At 39.9% G+C, this 27,374-nt stretch overlaps 1 protein-coding gene across 1 annotated transcript, besides 4 other annotated features; it reads right to left on the reverse strand.

The window, feature by feature from the left end:
- Positions 1–1,554: 1,554 nt before the first annotated feature.
- On the reverse strand, positions 1,555–19,395 carry KLHL31 (kelch like family member 31). The gene is made up of 3 exons (NM_001003760.5): positions 19,240–19,395; positions 7,740–8,944; positions 1,555–5,969 (listed from the first exon to the last, which is right to left on the reverse strand). Exons 2-3 carry the CDS (start codon positions 8,909–8,911, stop codon positions 5,237–5,239), a joined length of 1,905 nt encoding a protein of 634 aa, NP_001003760.2. The 5' UTR covers positions 8,912–8,944; positions 19,240–19,395; the 3' UTR covers positions 1,555–5,236.
- Positions 4,770–5,064: a silencer, noted in NCBI's record as "tiled region #14005; HepG2 Repressive non-DNase unmatched - State 1:Tss". NCBI's record gives its function as "represses a minimal TATA promoter and a strong SV40 promoter by Sharpr-MPRA in HepG2 cells {active_cell/tissue: HepG2}" and the evidence as "EXISTENCE:reporter gene assay evidence [ECO:0000049][PMID:27701403]".
- Positions 5,436–5,495: an enhancer, noted in NCBI's record as "active region_24699". NCBI's record gives its function as "activates an Ori minimal core promoter by ATAC-STARR-seq in GM12878 lymphoblastoid cells {active_cell/tissue: GM12878}" and the evidence as "EXISTENCE:reporter gene assay evidence [ECO:0000049][PMID:35858748]".
- Positions 5,526–5,745: an enhancer, noted in NCBI's record as "active region_24700". NCBI's record gives its function as "activates an Ori minimal core promoter by ATAC-STARR-seq in GM12878 lymphoblastoid cells {active_cell/tissue: GM12878}" and the evidence as "EXISTENCE:reporter gene assay evidence [ECO:0000049][PMID:35858748]".
- Positions 26,810–27,104: an enhancer, noted in NCBI's record as "tiled region #11274; HepG2 Activating DNase matched - State 9:DNaseU". NCBI's record gives its function as "activates a minimal TATA promoter and a strong SV40 promoter by Sharpr-MPRA in HepG2 cells {active_cell/tissue: HepG2}" and the evidence as "EXISTENCE:reporter gene assay evidence [ECO:0000049][PMID:27701403]".

Here is a 27,374-nt window from a genome sequence, read left to right on the forward strand (position 1 = left end):
CTTCCTTCCCCCTCTTCCTTTCAGGAATACTCTTCTGCTAATGGGGATTAAGAACAGATGCGTGTATGTCCTCTTTTAGACTCTACATGTGTTCTCTTCTCCCCAAATCGTCATGTATTGGGAACCTGCTAGTATGGCTAGAGTGGCAGGAATTAAGTCACAGATGTATCATTTTCACTCAACATTCTTTTAGAAGAGGTTAGATCAAGAAGAATTAAGACGATTCCAGAAAGAGAAGAACAAGGAGACCCAGGGAGGGAGGGGTGAGGAGGGCAATTCTTAACATTAAATGGGTTTATTTGATGGCTGTTGGGAACCAGATTTGTGCAAACACTCAAGGCTGGCAGAATACATTTAATACATGCTCTTGACCTGTAAGGGCACTGAATTGAGAAAAGGCTACAAGAGTTGTCTGGGCTTGTTCTTCAGAAGAAAAAAGGCAAGGTATAATAGGGGAGCTGAGTACATGTCTTGTGACCCAGGAAAGGGAGAGAAGAGCATTGTTATGGTGTGATCAGGGCCAGAGCAGTGTGGCTGAGGGGAGGCAGTTTGACTGGGAAGCTCTTTGCTCCTTTGGTAACCAGGTATGAAGATGACTAGCCATTCATTGTGCAGAGACAATGCTATATGAAAACTTTACTTTTCCTCCTGGACATGAAGACCTTTTTCTTAGCTCCCTTTCATCTAAGTAGGCCAGATGGCTGTTCTGGCCAAAGAGATGTAGACAGAATTCAGCACAGTGCTGAAGCCTGGAGAGGGCATACATCATGTCTATACCTGGCCTAGCGAAAAAAGATCCTGCCTAGTTTCCCACTGTAATTGAGAGTGGAGACATCCCCAAGATTGTTGTGGGAGGCTGTACAAATCTGTAGGGAAGCTTGGAGTAATGTGGGAGTTTAAAGAAAATGCAAAGAAACTCTGAGGCATCTGGCTGGTCTGCTCAAAATTTGGACTGTGGCACCAGTTGTTTTGTGTTTGAGGCTATCTAGTCTATTTATATGATTACAGGGCTTGGAGAAGTTTAAGAAAAGCATTGCTGCCATTTAGAATTTCCTAGATTTGATGGCCTCAACTGAATGTTATTATTTAAGTACTACATTAGATCAAAGGTTGAGCATCTTATGTTGGTTACATTTTACTTGCTCATTTGGAGGGGTAAGGTAGAAGAGAAAGGCTATAAGGGATTGTCTACACAACAATGCGATTTTATTTCCTAAAACGTTTTGTTGCAAATGATGATGAACCTGTGACAAGCTGGCTGTGGTCAGGGTGGAAACAGGAAGAGAAACCACACTTAACCTACGACTTCTAAATAGTCGGGGCTGAGCTAGACCAGAGTTGGGCTTTTCTTTGAGTTACAAAGCAAGTCTCTACTGATGTTTTATACCTTTTTCTTTCACTAGTCTTCAAGCTGTTGAAACATTTTTTCAATTACTTGTCATTTGCTGTTGTTTTGTCTAGGTGAATCATCACGAAAACTAAGTAGAGAAAAAAACAAACACCCCAATCATCAGAGAAAGGATATTTCAAAACTGTCCATATTTAGTCATTGACTAAGGTCTTATTGAATGCAGCTTTATTGATAGTGATGAGATTACAAAATAACACTACATACATTTTAGTTTGTTGTTCCTTATATAGTACCAGAATGTTTTAAGCAAAGAAAGAAATTTTTTTGCCAAAATTTGCTGAATAAATAAAAAGTTTTTAAAGAATATCCAGGACAAATAATTTATTTCAAATTCCCTGAGAGGGCAAATTAAATGGTCTTTACCCAGTGAATGTGCTGGAGGGTAAATCTTTAATATTTTAGATTGTTTAATTCTTATAATTACGAATAAAGGACTGTTTGGAAAATTATTCTGTAGGTTTTTTGGCATGAAAAGAAATACTGAAAAGTATTTCCTTTTAATGCTGCCTTGTGCTGGAGAACATATTCATCAGCGGCTGGAATAGGGATGTAGTTCATTCAGAGATTACATAAATTCATTTGGTTGTAACTAAGGGAAAAAAATTAATGAGGTGATTTTAGTTTATTTCGTCTCGTAACTTGGATGAGTTCTGAAGACACTTGGCCAGGATAACCAGCAAAAAAATAAAATTAAAAAATTGACCTTTTAGAACGTACATATTTCCAGGTAAACCTCTATTTACATGTGTATTTGTAAAATACACTTACTACAACTGCTGCTTTACCTTAAATCATAGAACCATTCAGTACTCACTTCCTCATGACATCAATTATACCTCCTCACTCATAACACTTCACTACCATCTAATCATGTTTTAAAATTATACGAATCTGTACCATCACTGACCTTCTATTCAAAACCATTCTTACAACATAGGAAGTAAAAATAAAATTCATTCAATGCACTGAAAGCAACTAATGCATCAGGGATGACAACTTGGCACCAAGAACCTAACTAAAAATGGACAAAGTATGTTAAAGTTTGGCTTCCTGGAGACTTTCTCATCAGGTCTCTGGCCCATTTAGAAAAAGAGAGCTTGAATTTTATTATTTCAGTTGCTGGGTAACATGCAATTTCCCTGATATATTGAACTGATGCTTTTATTTGATCACAGGACTCAGCCGTTACAAAAATAACAAGTCATTTTCTTTAATAAAAAATAAAAGGAAGTATATGGTTGGGTCCTAAGACTCTGGAGTAATTGAATGTAAGCTTAAAACATACTAAATATTTTCCACTTGGGAAATCTGGAGAAACTAGGTTTCTAGGAGCAACTGCTTCAATAGTTGGTGTAAAGAATATGTTTCACTTACACATGAAAGTGGACACATATTATTTTGATTCTGCATACTTTTATGTCTTTCAATTGGCAATGCAAGATGTTCCAGGATATGAAACTTTCACCGACCCTTACATTCCATACTCCTCGCCAATGTGTTATGTCAGAAATTCTGACATTCCAAATTCATATTGGTCTTTATTTTCCTAACTGTTGAAGCAGAAGATAGAACAGCAATGCACCCAAGAGTCTGGTAAGCTCAAATATGTGGATTTTCTGAGTCTTCAGATAAACAATGTAGAAAATAAATTAAATGGTAATTTTAAATGATTTATCCAGCACTAACATGTCTCCAGTTTCATCTCTAGAAAGCCACTGCCAAGTTTTTGCACAACCTAATTTATCAAGCTTTGATAGATGAAAAATCCTCTAGTTTCAGTATCTCTTCTCATTATTCCATCATGTAATGTTGCAATTGATTGATTCTCATTTCATTTCAAGCCCTAGGTCCTCCTCTTCATACAATACTTCTAAGATGTCAATGGGAACACATCTATTGGTGTGCATCAAGGAATTACATCTATTCACTCACTTATGATCTGTAACCCACAATAAAACACCCTTTTCTCCAAAAATTAACCATATACTATAGGCTTCTCAGTTGTATGAGTGTGTGCGTATACACACATATACATACACCAAGGTAATATACCATATCCACATATACCAAGGTAAAAGATTCTTTGTGTGGGATAAGGAAACAGCCCAGCGCTTTTACATTAATAATATCTTGTTCTTAATTTACAGCGTTTGTAGCCCTTACCTGAGTGTTATCATTAAATATCCAGAGATTGAACTTTTCATCGGGGTAATGATATAAAATTGTTCCACAAAGTGTACTATATGAACCACTTTTCACAGTTCAAATAACATATTTTAGAAATAAATATCATAACTAGCAATAACCTATCTACACAAGGTGGAGAGGATGAGATTAACAAAAACCAAATTATATTTCCATATATCTCATGTTCAATTCCTAAATAGCTTGTTTTATTTTTCAAAATCCAATTGCACATAACCCATAATTGATAGGCCACTTCCTCTCCAAAACAAATAAACTGTCAAAGAATAAAGTGATAAATTATAAAAAAGGAAAATATGTATCATTTACTACAGTCATTCCCTTTCCCCAAAACTTGGCAAACATATAGGAAAAGTGCTATCAAGTGGGTACACTTTGATTATAAATCCAAAGCTCATTTGGAGCAGATGAGATTAATAAAAATAGGACAGAATGAGTATATATTTTTATATACGTGAGATGAGTGCTTGATTTTTACTTAAGAAATCAGGAGGATCCATATTAAATGGGAAACAATGGCATTTATCAACAGGAGAACCCATTCATCCAGTTACTACCAAATCTACAAATTCCAAATGTTTCTATCATTCTTATCATATAAAAGATTGGGGCAAATAAAATTATTGTTATTGGTTGTGTAAACTTCAAGCTCTCTAAGCTTAAGGCTAATGGTCCTTAGGGACATAGTTTTATTTGGTGATCTTCGCGGGGTGTACATTAGGGCCAAGGTTGCCTTTAACCAGGTTGGTGTAGTTTTTAGGGTGAGGGTAAGGCTCCCAGGGTATGTGAAATTCTTCTTTAATAGAGGACAAGGGATAAAATGCAAATCCTTCTAGTTGAAACAACCAAATGACTTAAATTTATGCTATAAATTAAATGATTCATATCAATTACTTCATTGAGAGCATGATTTTATGGTAGAAAATAAACTGGGGCCTGAGGCATGGAGGAAGAGGAATGTCCGCTAACACAAAGGTTATCAAATTTAGGGTCCCTGGGTGGAATCCCTATTCCTTTTCGGTCAGATCTTGTTTTAAGCTTTATTACGTTGTCATGGGATATCTTTCAAAATCCTTTACTCAATCACATATGGGGGGAAAATTGCGTTGAAATACAGAATTAAATCTTAAGTCTTTATGGAGATCGACAATTTCCATTTTTAAATAAATAAAATCTATATGAATATCTTCAACTTCCTAAAGAAAAAAGAGAGAGAGGAAAATAAACTTTTGAACATGAAATCACTTACATAAACCTCAAGTGTACTAACGTGTAGAGGAAAAAATCTCAAATGTGGGTGTAACCGCTATACATTTAGGAAACATGCCGCCTTGGGAGAGTGCCTATAACGAATTCCGTCTGCCACCCAGTGGCCGCTGAAATAAATTGTTTCTTTTGTTGGCCATTGCCCTGTATTTTGCTAAAAAAAAAAAAAAAAAAAAGAGGTAGATTATGCCATACCAGGAATTTAAAGCCATCAGGACATGTGCCTCGACATATTTTACAATACAATCAGTGTAGTAAATGTTAAATATTTTCCTTTTCGCGAACTCAGAGGTTAACCACGTGGCTCTACGAATAAATAACGTGTTCTTCCTGCGTCCCTGCATCTACCTGGGCTCAGATACTGACTGGCACAGAAGATACCGAACTGGCCCGGGATTCCCGAGTCACGTTGTTGGGCATCGAGAGGGTGCAGCAGGACACGCCGACAGTGGCCTCGGGTAGCTCGTCGTCCTCCGTCCACTCGTTGAGCTCGGGGCTGAAGCACTGGATGCACTTCTTGTACTTCTTCTCGCCCTCGTTCCAGCCCCCCACCAGGTAGGCGCGGCCATGCAGCGCCGAGACGCCCGCAGTGCTCACTCCCACCTGCAGCGGCGCCGCGTAGCTCCACTGGCCGGTCGCGGGGCTGTAGCACTCCACGGTGAGCACGTCCACGCGCTCCCCGCGCGGCCCCAGCTGGCTGCCGCCCATCACGTACACTCTGTCGCTCAGCGTGACCGCGCAGTGCCAGCCCCGGGGTGTGCTGAGGTTCGGCAGCTCCTGCCACGAGTCGCTGGCCGGGTCGTAGGCGCACACAGAGCGCGAGTAGGCGTTGGCTATGTAGCCTCCGGTCACCAGCACGCGGCCGTCGGCGACCGCGCTAGCGTGGCAGCAGCGCGCCACCTCCAGGGGCGTCTTCGGCTGCCACTGATTGGTGGAGGGCACGTAGCACTCCAGCGAGGCCAGGCTTCCTTCTGCGTTGCGGCCGCCCGCGGCGTACACGAGCCCGTTGAACACGCTCAGGCTGAAGTGCGTGCGCTTCTGGTTCATGCTGGCCAGGTGTATCCAGGTGTTGAAGCGGGGATCGTATCTGGAAATGATAGAGAAGGTGTAACAGCTTTGTCGGCGGCAGCTGGGGACCCCATGTTACTTTGCAAATCATGAGTGGGAAGCCTGACACTACCCCTGCAAGGAGGCGAGGGACCTGGCCCAGCACCTCACCTGGAGGCTGGAGTTTCTCTCTCAGCCAGTAAAAATGTGTGACACTTGGAAAAGACAAAGCAGGCATTGACCACCCCTCGCCCCCGTTTATAAGCCTCTCCTCCGTTTATAAGCACTCCCTTTATGGGGCCACTTGGAGAAGAGCCCACAGAGACTGAGCTTTCAGTCCCCCTTTCCTCCATATTCAAATATCTATCATCCAGTGGGATTTACGAGATGTGCACATGGGGGAGGCTGGGCATTTGTGACGATCAGAGGAGTGGCGATCAGAGAAGGGCATCGCCATATTAAAGTCAATTCTGCATATCCTCAGATGCCAACCATTCCTAGCTCCCTGTCACAGTTTAAGATACGAATTGACTGACTGGATTTCTCCATTTCTCACAAACCCCTTAATCCTACACCTCTCTTGGCCATTGCGACAGTAAAGCCAAGCCACTCAGCAAAGTCTTCTCTTGTCTGTTAGACTGAGACCAATAGAACTGTCTAAAAGCATCAACAAAGGCTTAACTTTGGATACTCTTCTATTTTCCAGCACTTGTCAGTAGAGAAGACTTTTTAGTTTAGGGATAAATATATATTTTTTTCAGTGCTCGGAACTATCCATGTATAAGCACTGCAATCAATACCTCACAAAGCGACTCGAGTACTAAAAGGTGTCTTTACAGCAGGAGGAAAATAAGCATAGTGAACTGATGCTTTCCTGTTGACATAGTTCAGAAGTATTGTAAATACAGAACTCACTCCTTCAGTCTGATGTTCATCTTTGTCCCATTTAACTCCCAAATTAAACTCAACTATAGTTACAAATTAAACACTAAAAATCAGTTAATTGTGTTCTTTAAAATGCATACACACATAATGGAATAATAAAGTATATTTTTCATGAAATACTACACAAATTTTCAGATCTTGCTCATTAGTTATGTTTGACTTTGTACTACTACCATGATATAAGCATGATTTTCTGAACATTTCATATGAATGGAAGTTTAATTTTTAATCATAAATATATAAAATAATATGGCATTTGAATTCCATTTTTCTGAAGGATGTGTTTTACTCTTTTACTCTTTTCTGTATGTATCAAAAATACTGACACATTTTCTGTTATTCGGTTTTCAAATAAGTATTTCAAATTAATTAGCTGCCACATTTTTAATGATCTCATTCTATTTGCCAATTATGAATTTGACAGTTGTCAGTAGCAGTCACTTAAAATACATTTTGTATTATTCTATTCTTTCTTACTACTTAGTGTTAAAAACTGAATTTGTATCTAATTTCTATCAAAAGTCAGTGTATTGTGAAGAGTACCCAACTAGAAGTGAGTAAATGTGAATTGCCGCTTACTGGTGTTATAACTTCTCTAGGTATCAGGTTTCTCATATGTAAAATCAGAATAATTATATCTTCCCCGCCCACCTCACAGGCTTGTTTCAGAAATCTATAGTGCAAAATATAAATGAATGTACTTTATATAATATAAAGTGCTGAACATACGTAAGGTGGCATTATTATTATTTTTGATTTACTAAGCCAATGGACTAAGTTAATAAGCAAGATTAATTTACTTCTATGTTAGGGCTATTTCCCTATAATATTGAGCCATTTCAGTTCCTAATAAAAGATCAAGTACCTGCAGAAATTGCTGACTGCATGCTTGGCTTGATTTCTTGCATCATTCTGGTCTTCACCACCGGCTACATAAAGAAATCCATCCATCACAGCCACACACTGATTAAAACTTTTGGCTGGCATTTCCGTAAGCTTGCTCCATCCATTTTCAGGGTCTCTATACAAGATGTCTCTGCTAAGGGACTTCTCAGTAAGGCCTGGGCGTCCCCCAACAGTGACGAGGACTCGGCAGCCACCTCGGATTCTTGTTCGCCTAGATTGCAATGTGTTTTGATGATATGGAAGCAAGTGGTAGTTCATAGCATCTACGAGAAGTCTGTGACAATCAGCATCTTGCATCATTCTTGGTACGGATTGAACATAATTGACCAGGTCTTGTGCAGAGATGGTACCAAAGCGAATATTGCTCAAAAGATCTGCAGCGTATTTTACTCTCTTTTGGTCAAATTCTAACCATTTCATTGCAATCTGGAATGCTACTATCTCAGAAGGCAACTGTAAGTCATCATCTATAAGAAGTTCATTAATTTGTTCAAATGTAAGTTTCATAAACTGATCCGATTCTGCAAATTCAAGGAAGTTATCCCGAATAAATTTCTGGGCTGCTGCTTTTGCATTTTTTAGGGAGTATGTTTCAGCAATATTAACAACATACATGCAATTCTCAACACTCATCTCCCGTATCAGAAAATCACTGCACATCTTTACAAGAGTATGGATCTGAAGATAAACAGCAGCAGAAATAATGCTTCCTATTGTATACAAGGAGAGAGTGAGCTTTCCAGTGTAGGCATATGCAATGACAGTGGCCAGGCCTAGTGGTGAGATATCATTGAGATCCACCCTCTGAATTGACGGGTCTTTTTTTAGGATGTTGTAAAAATACTCACTGCATGAAGCCATGACTGACTTATGAACATCAAAGGATTTGGTTTTGGTACCAATGACTAAGTCACATAGGAAGTTCTCCTGCCGCATTTTACTTAAACCTTCCAAGAGGTTGGGGCCATAAGAAGCATCTGTTAGTTCAGAAGAAATGCAGCTAAGGCCATTGCCTCCCTCTAGGAGCCCATTCAAAGCATTCAGTTTGTTTAGGGGGCTATCTTCTACGATTATAGTCATCTCATTGATATCTCCTTTGTTCTTTTTGACAATCTTCTTTTTGGGTGCCATGTTGGCAAATACACTGTTACAGGCAAGAGCTTGCTAAAAAGAGAAAAAAAAAAACATGGTTTTGTTTTAATTGTGCTTTAGACTTTGAAATACTACATTGAGAAACTTTTTCAAAAGATAATAGTTTTCATGGCATAAAATAGATTAATTTTTAAAATAGATTTAAAGACATATTAAACTAGATGTACATTTTACAGACAGTTTACTTCAGCATGAAGCATTGAAGACAATTCTAGGAAGATTTATGTTATCAAATGAAATCTCTCCATAACTGTATTGCCAAGTAATTATATAGAAAAAGTGACCACATTTTCTTTCTTTCTTTTTTCTTTTTTTCTTTTTTTTTTTTTTTGAGACAGAGCCTCTATCTGTCGCTCAGGCTGGAGTGCAGTGGCATGATCTCAGCTCACTGCAACCTCTGCCTCCCGGGTTCAAGCTATTCTTCTGCCTCAGCCTCCCAAGTAGCTGGGACTACAGGTGTGCACCACCATGCCCAGGTAATTTTTGTATTTTTGGTAGAGATGGGTTTTTACCATGTTGGCCAGACTGGTCTCGAACTCCTGGCCTCAAGTGATCTGCCCACCTCAGCCTCCCAAAGTGTTGGGATTACAGATGTGAGCCACTATACCCAACCAACATTTTCTGATTGAGCTATATAGTAGAATAGTAGTTAAATATCATTTAAAGGGCTTAGTTTACTGTCATGAAAAAGTGAATTATAAACACTCTGAAGATTTTCCTCAGTAAAATACTAAAATTCAGGAATACATGTGAAATGTAGAAAATATTATGGAAAGATTATTTTATTTGCAGTAGCAATGAAACCTGTTATATTTTAAGAGATATATATACTTGACTCTAATTTAGTGAGACACATATAAGTACTATAGGATTTTGCCAGAGGATTTAACAGACAGGGACTCTACATTCCTGTATGAAGAGATGGATGTCATTTCAGTGAAATTTTAGTTGCTACCTCTATAAGATATTTTTTCTTTTTGGAACTTAATAAAATGATTTCAGAGTTTAACTGAGGGAGTGAGTATAAAAGAACATCTAGGAATTTTGTTTAAAAATAAAGGAATTCTTACCAGATGCAAAAAATTAGAGGAACTAAAAATTTTGGATCAGGAATAAAAAGAAATTCAGTGGAATAAGATAAGAGGTAGAAACCTATAAATTCAGAAGAACAAAATAAAGGGTAGAAACCCATATATGTATATGTGTGTATGTGTGTGTAGATATATACAGTATATATGTGTGTGCATATTTATATATTTATATAGTGTATGTGTGTGTAAGTATATATATTAAGATAAATGTGGCACTTAAAAATCAATGAGAAAGAACTTGTAATGGCAGCATTAGGTCAACTGATTTGCTACTCTATATATTCACTAAAATAACTTCCAGATGAATTAAATATCTAAGTAACATACACACATACACAAACTTATATAAGACCAGAACAAGCTAGGGATCTTGTTTTTGTTTTTGTTTTTATAACTTAGGTTAGGGAAGGCCCTTCTCAGCTGACACAAAATCCAGAAGCTATAAAAGAAAAGACTGAAATATCAGAATATAGAAAAATAAAAGCCATGAAACAAAACTGACTCCTTAAAAGGCAAGCAACAGACTGGGAAAACAAGTATTTTTAACTTTTTTTTTTTTTTTTTTTGAGATCGGGTCTCATTCTATCACCCAGGCTAGAGTGTAGTGGTGTGATTTTGGTTCACTGCAGCCTTGACTTCCAGGACTCAAGCAGTCCTCCCACCTCAGCCTCCTGAATAGCTGGGGCTACAGGTGCATGACACTATCTATGCCTGTCTACCTTTTTTGTATTTTTTGAAAAGAATGGGTTTCACCATGTTGCCCAGGCTGGTCTCAAACTCCTGGGCTCAAGCAATCCACCTGTCTTGGCCTCCCAAAGTGCTAGGATTACAGGCATGAGCCACCTTGCCCAGCCTAATCTGATGATTTCTTTGGTGCAAATACTCTCATCATGACTGATTTCAAGCTATCAACTGCTTAACAATTAGTTTACCAAATTTCTGAAAATTCATCAATCAGCTCTTGTGAGCCAGTGCAAGCCAGCTCCAACATAACACTATAGAAAACTTATATCAAACAGGTTTATGCTAATTATTCAACAATTTTCTCTTTTCACTAGTAGTAATTCATGTACACCTTTCTATAGCAGTACATGTATAAATCCACCTCATTCCTTATAATCGGTGCATAGTAATGCATAGTAAGGGTATATCATACATTGTTCAACTATTATCCTGTTGATAAGCATTTATGTATTTAGGTGGTTTACAATTTTTTGTTTTTGTTTTGTGTGTGTGTGTGTGTGTGTGTGTGTGTGTGTGTGTGTGTGTGTTTTAAATCCCATTGTAATTTCATCCTGAGGGGTAAAACTCAGCTTTGGCTCTCCTTGAAGGGTTTTCAATTTGATGGGTGGTGTATGTGTTAAAGTAATTTTGTAGCCCTTCTATTGTATTTGCTCCTGTTCCTATCCATGCAGAAGAAGAGTAGCAGGTAGGCAGAAAATAGAGATGGTCTAATTCTTTTCCAGTGCTTTTGTTTTCCTCTTTAAGCTCCAATTATCATATTCACATTTATATTTTTTACAAGGCTGTAGCACATACATCCTTCTTCTCATTCTTTTTTTGCAAACAATGCAAAATGCATCCTTACCTTGTGAAAATAGATTATGAACCCTCTATCATTTTAATGCTCAAATGCATTAGCTTATGTGTTGAGTGTCTCTTTGTTGGATTTTCTGGGAGAAACTTTTGAATATTTGTCAGCAAGCAGTTATCAGATATCCATCTTGGTGTGGGCAGCCCAGTGCTGGGAATGATGGAGCAGTACAAGATGTAATTTATATTAGAGACACAAGACATGGCAAATGCAAAATATCAATAAGGAGCTAGGTTAGCACAGCAGAGAAAATTTTGGGGGGAAAGTCCTGTCTGTGTTCCTGGAAGAACTCCTGTGGCCATTTTTTTTTATTCATGTAGATACAGGGCTTGCAAATGCTTATTGTTTTAGAGGAAATCCTGAGCCTGGGGAGTAATCTGAGTGCCTCAGACTGAAATTCTAAATACTCTGTTATCCATCATTAAGATGTTGTTTCATAAGTAGCATGTAAGGGTGATATTTAAAATATTAATTTCTGATAAAACAGGATATCTACTAACCAGAATGGATTCAGGCCACAGTGCTGGACCTGGGTCCCAGCAGTCCCCCTAAGGTACACTGTGTAATTCTTCAGTTACTAGATAATAGACCGAGGAGAGGGTGGAAGGGTGGGAGGGACTCAGAGAAGTTCAGGGCAGTAGCTATTTGACTATTTCAATTTGTTTGATATACATATAATATTTAGAGAGGGATCTTAGTATTTCAGCATACTTTGTGATCCGAATAGAATTAAATTAGAAATTAATAACAATAAGCTATCTAGGAAAGCCATTTAATTTTCAATACTTGAAAATTAAACAGTTTCCTTTTCAATTATCCATGAGTCAAAAAAGAAATCACAGGAGAAATTTTTATAATATTTCAAATAGGATGACAATGAAAATATAACATAAATACCAATTTTACTACTTATCTACCGTGTGACTTTTGGTAGATTACCTAGCCTCTTACAGTCTCCATCAACTTATTTCTTAAGAGAAGATAATAATAGTGCCTGCCTCTAGGTTTGTCAGTGAAGTCTAATGAGGAGCCTGTAACAGCATTTTGCAGAGCACCTGACAAAAAGTGAATATTCAAAAAAATTTGAACCATTTTCATGACAAGCAATAGCCTTTGTTAGTTGTCTTTGGGAATAGAGAAAGGAGCCTGTTTAAGCTTTAGAATGAAGTGAATCAGAGAAAGCCACCACATCATGGACAAACAGTCATGAGGTGCAGGAGGCAATATGGGACAGTCACATAGTGACTCAGAAAAGAAGTGGCAAACAGCAACAAAGGGAAGATTTCTGGAATGTGTAAATATTTCTATGAGATTTTTAAAAAACACCAGGGAGAGAAAAGAAATACATACAAATACACAGCCTGAGAAACAGATTATTTTTATTTTGATAGGTAGGGCTAACCCCGAAAGTTCAGAAAACTTGGGGCATTTGGTTATAGGTTAGGTGAGCAAAACAAGAGTACATGGAACAGATTGTGTGTCTGGATTTAAGGATTCAAATAAAAAGGACTATTGTGGTGGGGTGGTGTTAGAATGGGAGGTTTTGCAGATAACATGAATCTTGTTGGGTCTTGGTAACTGAAGGGTCTTAAATAGCAGCATGTATAGGAGGGAGAAGGTTATTAGAAGTAGAGGAAATGTTTCAAGTTGAAGCAAGGAGGTGTGACTCAGCCTGTCACATGCATTCAGAGATGGCTGAGGTCATGAGGGAGACAGTTGGGCAGGTAATATTCGGTCAATACATACAGGAGGTTGGATGCCAGGAAGGCTTGAACCTGATAAATTCATATGCAGTCTAGAAGGACTAAGAAATCTCCAGGAAGAGAGAGTGCAACTTGAGGCTAGATGAAATAGTGAAATCAGTAAAAGCTCTCTCTCTCCATTTTCTTTCTCTTACTTCCTATTGATGGCTTCTCTTTCCTCCATTGCCTGACCTTCATGCTGCTCCTGGTGTTCCCACTGTTGACTCAGCCCTGGCCTGTTCCACCCATGGGAACTTCCATGCCCTTCTTTTTCTTTATAGTCTCTTGCGCTTGTCCTATTTCTGTAAGACCCCTCTGGGTGATACATTAGCTAGTCTGACAAATGAATCCGAGCTAACCAGTTAATGGGCAGATCTACTCTTTTTCCCGGATATGCATGGTTTCTGTTTTGTAAATAAGTGTCCTTCTATAATTCACATACAAATTTCTATCAGAGTAGCCTTTGTAGAATACATATATTTATATATATGTATATATATACTGACTTGCTGAATATACCATGTGCATTTCAGAAGAATTTGTATTCTGCAGTTGTTGGGTGTAATGTTCTATAAATATCAATTAAATCAGGGCAATTGATAATGTTGTTCAGGTAATCTATAACATTACTGAAAACTTATAGATAGATACACATGTGCAAACACTTATGTATTTATATATTTTTTTAATGAAAAGAAGGCTTTTAAAGCCTGTGAAATCACTCTTTAGAGGTAACTGGCTTATTTAGCTCTCTCCAAAATGAGGAGAAGGAGAGGAACAGGCAGGAGACCATTTAAGAAACTTGAAGTCAGGCTGGGTGCCATGGCTCACTCCTGTAATCCCAGCACTTTGGGAGGCCGAGGCGGGTGGATCACTTGAGGCCAGGAGTTCAAGACCAGCCTGGCCAACATGGCGAAACCCTGTCTCTACCAAAAATACAAAAATTAGCTGGATGTGGTGGCATGCACCTGTAATCCCAGCTACTCAGGAGGCTGAGGCAGGAGAATCACTTGAACCCGGGAGACAACAGAGGTTGCAGTGAGCTGATATTGCACCACTGCCCTCCAGCCTGGGCAACAAAGCGAGACTCTGTCTCAAGAAAAGAAAAGAAACCGTTGAAATCAAAGCCTGCAAACAACTTTCTTGTGGCCGAATTTTCCTATGTAAACTCATAAATTCAGTCTTTCTTTAGAGCTACCATGATATCTCATTGCCGGGTCTGCAACTCATAGGTAAGGCTGTCCATCTACCCACCCAAGTGTTCTCAGTCTGTGCCATGTTCCTCCAATAAGGACACTGCTGCAGATCCTTCAGAGGAACCTGGGGATCAGGATCATTGCTTTGAAGCTGAACAAAGCTCTGATGTTGACTTCAGGGCTGCAGAGTTGTTCATTTGTTCCTATGTCCTAATAAATGCTCTGCCTGTGGCACTGCTCCTGCATCACCGAAAGCCACTGCTTTTCTCAACTTAAGGAGAACCGTAGTCTAGTAAGAATCAATAAGCCACATCTTATGCTCCAGGCCCTGTTACAGAAAAGACTAGCTCCCTCTTTATGGGGGATCAGAACCCAGAGGCTATGTTGTCATGGGGCATACAGGAAAGGCTTCAACAAACTCTCCCGGCCTCTCACATTGGAGCCTTTCTGGGTACAGACACAAGGTACATCACACTGGGTGCAAACAAACACACACCCACCCAGACACACAGCATGCCACTTGACCAACCATGAGTTTTCCACAATCATGTTTAAGTTAAGAGCAAGGGCAATCTTTAAGGAAAGAAGTCATAAAAGGCCAGCAAAGTAATATATATGTACAGGAAAGGAAAGTGGAACAATTTAATTCACTTCAATTTACTAATTTGGTCATAGTGCTGGGCTTCAAGGCTGATGGTATGGGCTAATAGAAGATGGCTGGAAAATCTGAGTATTTTTAAAACCATATTATCCAGTAACCAGGTCACATATTAACATGTAGTCAGAGCAATTCATACAGGAACTCTCACTGTTTTATTCTACGATGATACAAATGTTCACTGTGCACTTCTAGGTCATCATCAATGATAGTCACAGTGACAGTCAAAATGTGGCTGTGAGGAAGAGGTGTTACGAAAATGAGTTACATGTGTGTGTTCATATATAGAGTATAACCTACATGCTGAGCAATACATTTTGAAAACATTCCATTCTTTTTGATTCAATTGATATTTTAACTTTGCAAAGTTGGATGAGGGTTTTACTTACTCTCTCTTTTTTTTTAAAGCTCTCTCTCTCTTTTTTCTTTTTAACGGAGTGAAGGTCTTATTGTCAGCTGCTCAGGGCATCCCCAAGCTTGGTAGCCAGGGTCCAAGCTCAGTAGCCAGGGCCATCAGCCAGGATATGATTAGTATACCCTAGGGAGGGCTTTGACTCAGGTTATGGTCTGCATGGCCAGGCATGCATCTTTGTTAAGCTGCCAGTGGCTAGGAGAGTGTGAAGGCCATTTCTCCATTTTTCCTAAATGACAGCAGGCTTGGTTCTCCCTGGCTGCCTAAGGGGGGCTCTAATATGTTACCTTTTGGGATCAAAGGAAGGAAGAACTTTACAAGCTTCCGCCAGGACTGTTGGTGGCTTGCACTTTTCACACTGTTCCTGCCAGTAGGAATTCTGGAAGGAGGAGCAGGTTTAGCCAGAGCAGCTGAGGTTGTGTAATGGGATGAACAGCTATTTGGAAGCACTGCCAGTCCCTTCCCTTTTTGGGTCAAAGAAAAGACTTTGCACAGGATGCAGAGGGTTGTAGAAGGGTCCCTATGCTACTGGAGCTATCCTTTCTTTCTGTGGAGGAAGCCCAGAGCATTCACCTTCCCTGGCTATGGACTCCACAGCCTCCTCTCCCTCTGCTGTATCTGCTATCACGTAGAGCAACCTCTTGACTACCCTGGAAGAGCTGCCCATTAGAAACTGGGCAGAAGGGTAACAGAGATGCAATTGCACACTCCCCTCCCCATGCCTACTGCAGATCCTGGCTCTTGGGCCATTTCTAGTGCCATGTATTCAACACCTGATAAGCAGCTGGGCAGAATTACGTAAATCATTACATTTTTCCTCATCTTTTGTATTTGCCAAATTTAAGTATATTAATTCTTAAATATACATCACCAAGCAGGAAACTGTTTTATGTATTTAATGTGAATGGATAGCTCCATTTTCACCTAAAAAACAGCTATATAGCTAGCATTTATTGATCGAGGGTGTACTATGTGCTGGGCCCTGGGTTAAGCACTTTACATCATTTTAGTTTTTAAATTTAAATATTACAGATATCCTAAAAGGTAGGTTATATTATGTTCATTTTACAAATGAAGAAATTAAGAATCAGAAAGAGTAAAAAAAACTTGTCCAATATCACATAAGTAAGTGTGCAGTGTGTGCTGGGGCAAAATTCAAACCCATGGAAACCCTGGGCCCCTATATTGTCTTCTTTAAATCCAGGGTAGGGTAAAAACTGTAGTAGGTTAAAAGTTAGCTTTTTCTAACATGGGAAGATAGAGACAGTGCAAGGTATAGCTGGTGTTTATAAATTTAAAATTTTGATATGGAGAACATGAAATGGTTCGTTCTGGTTCCAAATACTAGAATAAAAGAGTTACCTTTTTGAATGTAAAATAAATTTGTTTGGGGACACATCGATCCTGTGGATTTCTTTATCCTATTAAGGGTAGTAAGAATGTGAAAATCCAATAGGTTAGGTAAGCCAAATAAATAGGGACAAGGAGGGCTTGCATGAATCTGTTTATCAGATAATCAAGCACTTCCTTTAGAAGTATTAGATTGAATATGAAATTATCATTTTTTGTTTAAAAGCAAATACTTTCAATCTCATATGGTTCAACTTAGCTAGAGGCTGTGCCTAACTTTTATCTATAAAGTATACAGACTCTATGCACTAAGTTAACTACAATTCTATTCTCTAAGGCTGTATATAGGACACAAGGACACAGTACAAAGTTTTTGTTTGGGTTTTGTTGAAAACTTTAGTAAACTGGCTCTTTTTCTTTCCTAGTATTTTGTGTGTTGGAGGGAGAGGAGGTTAGAAATTGAGTTTTAAGACTGATGCCTTTTTGATTATCATAGAACTGAAAATTGGGTTTCGGTGTTCATTCTGCTCTAACCACTTGATAGACCTATAGCAGAACGTCCAACCTATCAGGATTTCAGTATAATCAACTGTCAAACAAGGAGATGCATTACTTTTGCTTCTATAATTTTGCAGACAGTTATGAATACACAGCTGACTTTTGCTGTCAGAATTGTCAAAATCTGTTCCTACATTAAATCTCCCTGTAATATGGCCTTCCATATCTTTAGAATCTACTCATTATCAGATAGGGATGAACGAACTGAGACAAGGTTTCTTTACATGGGATCTATATGTCTGGGTCTGAACAGCTAGATTTAGCAAATAAAAATACAAGATGTCAAGTTGCATTTGCATTTCAGATAAACTATGAATCATACTTTAGTATAAGTATGTCCCAGGCAGTGTTGAGGACATACTTATGCTAAAAGTTGATTTGTAGCTTACCTGAAATTCAAATGTAGCTGGATGACCTGACTTGTATCTGGCATTCCTGATCAGGGCTGGGTATCAGGTGAGTCCATGAGTCCTGCGGAATAGTCTGAAACATACTGTGTGCATATGTTTATGTGTACTTTCCACACACTGGGCTCAGCGTTTTCATGAGATCCATAACCCGAAATAGATCCAAAATGACTGGACTGAGAATAATGCTGCCAAGCAATGGTACATAATTGGACCCTTGTCTGTAAGTGGGCAAGTCCATGTGAAAGTATTGCACTTAAATTCTTCCTGGCCCCAGCTGATCCCAGATGAAGACCCCCAGAACTGGTTATAGAAAAGAGTTGTTACTTCATATTTGAGAACATTTTCCTTCCCACTGCCCTGCACCCATGCTTCCTGGGAGTCCACAACAGGGTAAACTGGAAAGCCATGTGTGCTAAAGTGTCACTGTCACTCTCATGCCAGTATGAACTGGGATCCCAGAATGTCTTTTTGCCAAAGGGGCGAATCAGCTGCGCCTGCTCCCTGTCCTGGCCACATTCCTATCGCTGCATCTGTCGGGGCTCATCAGCCCTACCTCCAGGAATAGAAACCCTCCTGGCTTCTGTGGCTTGCCATTTTAAGTCCAACCTCGGGGTGGGGTGTAGGGGGGTGGTTTCCACTTCACCATTACACTTCCAACATGATTTTTAATATAAAATATATGTCAGCATAATGATATGTGCACATTTAAGACAAAAACCTATTTTTTAGCCAAATAACAAATTTTTTTTTTTTTTTAGGAAGGATATTTCCATTTCATCAATAGGTTATATTTCTGGGAATTCAGAGTTGTCTGAGTTTTGTGCTACAGATTTAGTTAAAACTGGTAACATTTCATCCAAACTGATCAGTAACAAATGTTAAAATGATTCTTGATAAAAATAAAGGTAGAATTCTAAACTTTGTGAACAAAGCCTAAGAATTTTCTCTCCTTCTCCTTCTCTATAAAGTAGTGAAAGAAAAATATATCTTAAGCTTTAGAGATTTAGAATTTTTGTTAGAAATTACAGGTGGTTTTACATTTGTAGGGCATCATTGTCATGCATTTTGTTACCGTGAAGTTCTCCTAACACGTTACATTTCTCAGATTTCAAAAAAATGTTTTCTGTCTCCCAACTTCAGATTAGGGACATGAACCACCTGACCCAGCTGTAGACTCCCTTCAGTAAAATAGCTCTACAACCACAAACACTCAGCCCACCCTCTCCCACCCACACATCCACACACACCCCAGGATCTAGAAGGCAGGAATTGGCGACTCTGGTCCCAGCTCCTTACCCTCCTTGGGTGAAGTGGCAGGTCAACTTGAGATGATGAAGTTTTAGCAGGAGACTCCTCTTGGGAAGGGATCTGTGGAGATAGAGAGAGGGAGAAGGAAAATCCGGTGGGGAGCCACCAGCAGCCACCTGACAAGACCCGGCTGCAGCAATTTTTAGAGTGACCCTTTGCCGTCCCACTGGATAAGGCAGGCCGAGCCTGCGCTTTGGCCCGGGAGCAGAGCAGCGAGCGCCCTCCTCTCCGTCTTTGGCCTTCAACTCTCCAGCCAGCCGGGGGCAGGGGGCGGGGCTCCGGTTGGTGGAGAGGGGTTGGGTTTCTTGAACTGACCAGCTGCTCAAAATGAAAAAGAAAAGAAAAGAAAAGAAAAGAAAGAAAGAAGGAAAGAAAGAAAGAAAGAAAGAAAGAAAGAAAGAAAGAAAGAAGGAAGGAAGGAAGGAAGGAAGGAAGGAAGGAAGGAAGGAAGGAAAGAAAGAAAGAGAAAGAAAGAAAGAAAGAAAGAAAGTCAAGAGCTCAATCAACCTGTGTGAGAGGAAAGAAAATTAATTCGATGGATGTTTAATTGTTGGAAGCAGGGATTCTAGTAGAGTAAGGAGAAGGGAAGGCTGTGGATTAAAAATTAGTTTTTGGAAAGGTAATTAGCCTGGTCACCTACGGTCTTTTGAGAAGATAGTGGTTATAAATAGCCTATTCTTTATAAGAGGAGCACGTATCTACCAGATATGGTACTTTCTACAGCACCTCACATGTGGTTCTAACATTATTAGGCTCATTTTAGAGTTTAATAAAGTGAGGTTTATGGCCAGCGATTTTCCAGTGATCACAGAGAGGTCTGAGATTAACACACACTCTAGCACACATGCAGGTTGGGAAATATCTACTTTGGCAACACTTCATGAGAAAAAAAATTCAATGATTATAATTGACTACAAATTTTAATGGGCACCAAGAGTGTGAAATGGTTGCTTAAAAAGTTAACATGATATTAAGCTACAATAATAGAAAAATAGATCATGGAAAATAAATGTTCTAATTATTCTTCATTAGTCAGATGATGTGTTAAGCATCACTTTGCTATCTTGGCACTCTGAGAACTTACTCTTCATCCTACAGAGATGGCTGGAACAAAAAAACTTCAGAGGCGGTGCATGTTGGAAACATCTGAAGAGAAGTATGACAAAGAGAGGACTTTTAAGATAAGTGAGACACCTGAGAGCAAGTGTTGTGGGGGCTGTTGTACAGCAAGAGGATTCAGTCAAAATTTCTGTAGCCTAAAATGTCAAAAATTTTAATGTGCAGTAATTCCGGGGAAATACCTTAAAATAAAGAAGAAGAGTGCAGATAACAGCTGGGCTCTAATGATGAAAATGGCAGCCTTGTAAAAGAGCCAGTTCTCTATAATTAGAAGGGTGGAAGTAAAAGAAGTTGCAGGACTGGTGTGACATTGAAGGGACTCTGTCTATGGCTGGGGGCTTGCACTGCATCATCTCTGAAATCTTTCCAACTCTAAGGCTCTGATTCTATATGTGCCAGTCTCCAGTTCACCTGAGACTCTCAATTCACTGGATAGCATCTGTCTATTGACTACTTCTGCTGGAATTCCCACCAATTTTTTAGTAGGAAAAACTATTTGGATTTTTTTTTTAATTCTTTGCTTCTACCCATAGATCTCCAGCACAGAAAGCGCCAGGAGCAAATCAAAGAAGCTTCTATTATGGTTTGCTTCTAAGAAATTCTACTTGGTCCCACCTCCTTGACTCAGGTAAAGGGTCAGAACCTTCCATCTTTGTTTGTTTGTTTGTTTGTTTTTTGTAGAGACAGGATCTCAGTATGTTGTCCAAGCTGGTCTCAAATTCCTGGTCTCAAGTGATCTTTCTGCCTTGGCCTTCAATCCCGTTTTAATTGTAATAAAAGTCAGCCTTATATCAGTATTTATGATAATGATGATATAATGATGGAAAGGGCCTTCAAGAAGATGTTGGTACCAATATTATCTTCTTCAAGGGTTCAAGACTATTAATTCCAGTTTTACTGGAACATCACTGAGATGCTCCTTTCAATATAATATAATGTTAAGATATGAACACAAGTGGAAGAATAAAAGGCAAAAAATGGAAAATCTAAGACACTTTAAAAATCATTTTCAGAGTAGCTAGTCTGTGTAACCATTCGACTACTGCTATGGTAGATACACTGGAAACACAGCATGGGACAGTAGGTTGTAGTGAATATTAAGAAATTTTGTCTTTGTCTTTAAAGCAATGAGTCTACCAATTGGAGCATATTTAATAAAAAAGAGGGTCATGATGAGATTGGCATTTTAGAATGAACATTCCGTAATTTGGGGATGTAACCTTAATGGAATTTAGATTTGTTTCTATTGCTAGTGCCTGTCTCTCTTCCACCAACCTCCTGATACTCTCTGCCATACAGCCAGTTCAAATGTAAGCTCCATGAAGGCAGGGATTTTTATCTGTCCTAACAGCAGACTTTCTCTCTTGGCTTTGATGAAGCCTAGTGCCAGGTTGGAGATGCCCAAGCAAGGAACATCCAGTTAGAAACTAAAGCCTTCAGTTCAATATCCCAAAAGACAGGAATCCTGACAATCATCATTTAGTGAACCTGGAAGTCAATCCTTCCCCAGTTAAGCCTTCAGATGAGGCCCCAGCCCTGTCTAACATCTTGATTGAAGCCTTGTGAGAGAGCCTAAAGCAGAGGACCTAGGGAAGCTCTGCCTCCATCCCTGATCCAAAGAATCAGTGAGATAATAAATGCATGTTGTTTTAAGCTGCTAAGTTATACAGCACTAGGTGACTAACATAGTATGCTTCTATTTGCCTTTTACTAATTTAATTCTTGCAGCATCTTTACCAGATAAAATTCCTGTTTTATATATAAGAAAACTAAGGCTGTTTTAACTTGTTCCAGATCATATGGCTGGTAAGGGATGGGGTCAGAATTTGGACCCAAGTTGTCAGGATCCCAGGTGTGCTCTCTTAACTACTTGACTTTACACAAAGGCAGTGGCTGAGTCTGATTTGTTCACAGTTGTCCCATTCTCCAACATAGTGTATGGCACATAGTAGATTCTCAATAATGGTTAATTAATTAATTACTTAATCTAGAACACTGCTAGATGAATGATGAATAGATTTATTTTGTTCACACAAGATAATTTTATAAGTGTTTTCAAAAAGTGTAACTGTGACTGTTTGGTCTCAGAGGCTTCTTGTTTTGTCTCAGAGGCTTCTTGTTTTGGTCTCAGAGGCTTCTTGATTCTTCAGGGCTATGTACTAATTGACTGAAATTTACAGGTGCATTTCAGTGTGTAGAGTAGTGTAATATAAACATGATGCAAGCCACATATGTAATTTTAAATGACCTAGGGGTTACTTTTAAGAAGTAAAAAGAGGCCAGGCTTGGTGACTCATGCCTGTAATCCCAGCACTTTGGGAGTCCAAGGCAGGCAGATCACGAGGTCAGGAATTTGAGACCAGCCTGAGCAACATGGTGAAACCCCATCTCTACTACAAATACAAAAATTAGCCAGGTGTGGTGGTGCGTGCCTGTAATCCCAGCTACTCAGGAGGCTGAGGCAGGAGAATTGCTTGAACTTGGGAGGTGGAGGTTGCAGTGAGCCAAGATTGCACCACTGCACTCCAGCCTGGGCAACAGAGCGAGACTCCATCTCAAAAAAAGAAAAAAAAAGAAGTAAAAAGAAACAGGTGACATTTATTTTAATAAAACATTTTATTGAAGTCAATATATCTATATTACTATTTTAATACATAATTAATATAAAAATTAGTAATTAGATATTTTACATTCAGAATAAGTACTACAGCTTCAAAATTTGGTCTGGCTTCTACATTTTTTAGTATATTTCAAGTGATGAAACTTGGATATTCCCTATTACAATCACTCAATAGCCATAACTGGCTAATATTGGAGAGTGCAGGTGTGTGGATGGTGCAAGTGTGTGAAAGGTGCAGGTGTACAAACAGTGCATGTGTGTGAATGGTGCAGGCAGTGCATGTTTTGATTGGCCCAGGTGTATGGACAGTGCATGTATGAGAATGGTGCAGTTGTATAGACAGTACATGTGTGAATGTTGCAGGTGTATGGACAGTGCATGTATGTGAATGGTGCAGTTGTATGAACACTGCATGTGTGCAAATGTTGCAGATGTATGGACAGTGCATGTGTGTGAATGGTGCAGTTGTATGAACAGTGTATGTGTGTGGATGGTGCAGGTGATAGTGCATTTGTGTGAATGGTGCAGGTGTATGGACATTGTAGGTGTGTGAACAGTACAGGTACATGGACAGTGTCAGTGTATGAATGGTGCAGTTGTATGAACAGTGCAGGTGAATGGACAGTGCATGTGTGTGAATACTGCAGGTGTATGGACACTGTACATGTGTGAATGGTGCAGGTGTATGAATAGTGCAGGGCAGGCGTGTGAATAGTGCAGGTGTGTGAATGGTGCAGGAGTAAAGCTTGGATGGAAGATTCAACCTTTGGGAATCTATAGAATATCCATTCCCCTTGTGACCGCTCTGTCTGTTATAATCCCAGGATACATCAGAAATAGCTCAAAATAAAAACAATTTTAGGGACAGAAGTTGTCTGAAAGTTGCTCTTAGATAGTTGCTAGAACATAAATGACTCATCACCTTGGACACCTGAGAAAGGTTTCATTAATTTTGGGCATGGACCTTCATGTTTTTAAAATTGGGGTTAATGAAATGGGTAATTTCATTTCAGGCAAAAGAAAGGAAAGGTTAAGAGAACAAAATTGCCCCAGATTTGGGTTCTTAGAAGGCGAGACTTGAGAAGATGACCTTTTAGCAATGACTATATTAGGTCTTTGGTTGTACAAAGTCATTAAGGAGCCAGAAAGGCCAGGAGCCAAATAGGCAGTGGAAAGGTGAAGGAGACGGATTTTACTTCCAGCTGCCCCACATCTCAACCCCTTTCCTATGGTTGTGGATTTTCCCACTGTGTGAGGTCAGGCAGAAAGCAAAGTCTGTCTTTCACCATAGAAGCCAAAAACCAGATGCTTCATTTGTCAGGCTGCTGTGCAGCTATGGCAAGAATGGGTACAAGACATAGGCTTGGCTGATCAGATGCCTGCATCCAGACTAGAAATGAGGAGCTAGTGATGCAAAGAAGCAGGCAGAGAGGACGTTGTTTTGGCAGTGGGGATTGCACGGGCTGAGCAGTATCAGCAGCACTGGTTTGCATGAACAGCACTGGCAGTGGGGCAGTGGTGGCATCCCTGGGTCCAGAGCAGGAGGCTTTAGGACATGAAGCTGTGACATGGAGGCAGCTGTGGTGTCTGGAGCTGTTGGTCTTGACCCTGGCTTCAGAGTTTTCTCTTTCTTTTGCTCCCTCCCTTTTTCTGGCCTGGTTCTCTGATCATACAGCGGAGGTTCTATGAGCTGCCCAGCACCCTTTCAAAGGATTCTTTCCTCCTTGGTTGTTCAGTTGGCTAGCTCCAGAGCTCAGCTGCTCTGCATAATAAATTGCAGGGGAATTGAGGGAGAGAAGCTGAGAGGAGACAGCCTGGAAAACAGGGAAGCATGGAGATGGTAGGAGTCTTGCAGAAGACAGGGGCTGAGCTACATCACAGGAAGATGTTGTGTGTGGGAAAACAAGGAATTACTGATGGCTGTGTGGTTGAAGGGCCTGCCACCACAAAGATGCCTAATGATTCATTTTCCGCCGTTTGCATTCTGTTTCAACAAGTGCTCTCCATAGCACAAAAGTTTCAGTAAAGTCTGCCATACATAAATGCCTGGGCGGTGTGTTGAGTGGAATCAATGAAAAGTCACCCCAGTTGGCACAGAGCAGACATGAGGGGAGAGCTGTGGCTGGGCCATGAGGGGGAGTTCAGCAGAGCAGTAACTTGGAGTCAGTGGTGACAGACATGAGCCTACGACCTGGGAAATTCTCTGAAATCCTGGCAAGGACACAGAGGTCCCCCATGGCTGTGACTTAGAAAGGTCAAGCCAATTTTATGGGAGACCTCAGCTGACATCTGGGTTACACCAGTATTTATCCATCTTCACTAAGAATGGCTGGCTCAGGGATCGGTCACACGGGACAAGTGCCATTTTTCATCTTTTATGTGGAAGAAGTAATCTTTGTCTGAAAAAGGAACTGTTAGTGACTCCCCAAACAAGTGGGAGGAAAGTCTGTATTCCAAGAATTTTCTGATAATAGAAATGAAACATTGCCTTTTTTTTTTTTTTTTTTTGAGATGGAGTTTCGCTCTTGTTGCCCAGGCTGAGTGCAGTGGCGTGATTTCAGCTCACTGCAATCTCTGCCTCCTGGGTTCAAGCGATTCTCCTTCCTCAGCCTCCCAAGTAGCTAGGATTACAGGTGCCCACCACCATGCCCAGCTAATTTTTTGTATTTTTAGTAGAGACAGCGTTTCACCGTGTTGGCAAGGCTGGTCTTGAACTCCTGACCTCAGGTGATCACCCACCTTGGCCTCCCAAAGTTCTGGGATTACAGGCGTGAGCCACTGCACCTGGCCAAAACATTGCCTTTTTAAGGAGAAACAGAGAAATATGTTTTATTATTTCAAACACATGAGTTTTAAGTGAGAAGCATTGGCTAAGATAACTCCAGCAACAAGACAATGTGTTCAAAAGTCTGATCGAATTTTTACTTTGGAAAAATAACAATGGGTCCAATCAATGAAATAAAAACTTTGATGGAAACTGCAGCTAATTTGGTGAATTCATACAGCCTATCCCAATAGTATCTAGAAGTGCTAGTTGTACTTGTTCTGTGCTCAATATAGTTAAGAGGTTCTTGACGTAAGTGGGCACTTGCAAACCACATGCTCTGTTGTGACATTTTGGAGGCAGCAGCACCATTCTAGTGTAAAGACACACTTGCAAAGGAGAAAACATATTTATTGCAAGCACTTACACAGTATGGCATAGTTTTCAAAACGTAGAAAACATGTCTAAAAAAAAATCTGCATATGAATGCCAAACTCTCATTTGCTGTAGCACCATTGAAAAGTCAACCCTCAGGCCAGGCATGGTGGCTCATGCCTGTAATCCCAGCACTTTGGGAGGCTGAGGCGGGCGGATCATGAGGTCAGGAGATTGAGACCATCCTGCCTAACACGGTGAAACCCTGTCTCTACTAAAAATACAAAAAATTAGCTGGGTGTGGTGGCGCACACCTGTAGTCCCAGCTACTTGGGAGGCTGAGGCAGGAGAATCACTTGAACCCAGGAGGCGGAGGTCGCAGTAAGCCGAGATCGCACCACTGCACTCCAGCCTGGGTGACAGAGCGAGACTCCATCTCAAAAAAAAAAAAAAAAAAAAAAAAAAGCAAAGAAAAGAAAAGAAAAGTCAACCCTTTTAGCATGTAGAAGCCTATTATTCAGAGAACCTGCTTTCCTGGCAGAGCACTTGTCTTAATAAAAGTTAGAGACTGGCTCATGTGGCCACATTGAGTTAAAATGATTTAACTTTTCCTTTTTAACAAGTTTTGAATGGCGTACCTCCCCTACCAATTGCCTTCTCCTTGTGTCTCCTTCCCTGATCTGCCTGGCTCTCCCCCACCCCTGCCCATCTCCCAGGCTGTGAAGTGCCTTCTTCTGTAATGATGTATACCTGTCTATCCTGGCACTTACTACATTTTAACAATGTGTTTGTCTCCTTCCTCGTCTTCATTTTTTTAACATCTCTATCCCCAGCATGGTGCCAGAATACTTGGGCAATGCTCCAGAAAGTCTGTCACTCTAGTGATGAGTCATTTGCTTGCATTAATGACCTTCTAACTCTGGAATTCAACAATATTGAAGTAACATTAAACAAGACCCCAAAGATCATCCACTCTTTAGTTGCACTGTCAAATTTTCTTAAAAAGGTGATTAAACGACTAAAAAATCCTTTTCACTCACTGCCCTAATGAAGAGATGGCCCCATCCAATGCTTGCCTGCCACTCTGTCCCATTTCACCCACTTAGCTACAGTCTGACCTTTGACTCTATTAAAATATTTCTGCTTGCTTCACTCTGATCAAGAGCTACATGATTATGAAAGATTTATAGAAGCTGAGAAGAGATATGCAATCCCTTTTAAGTGAAACCTTAGTAATCATTTTTT

This window comes from Homo sapiens, chromosome 6 (genome assembly GCF_000001405.40).
Source record: "Homo sapiens chromosome 6, GRCh38.p14 Primary Assembly".
NCBI classification, from domain to species: Eukaryota; Metazoa; Chordata; class Mammalia; order Primates; family Hominidae; genus Homo; species Homo sapiens.

Bases quoted from the DNA above. Each gene is read 5' to 3' on its own strand.
- KLHL31 (NM_001003760.5), bottom strand. From the start codon at position 8,911: ATGGCACCCAAAAAGAAGATTGTCAAAAAGAACAAAGGAGATATCAAT. The intron at 5,970-7,739 runs GTACTTGATCTT...TATCATTTCCAG, and splicing joins GCAGTCAGCAATTTCTGCAG to ATACGATCCCCGCTTCAACA.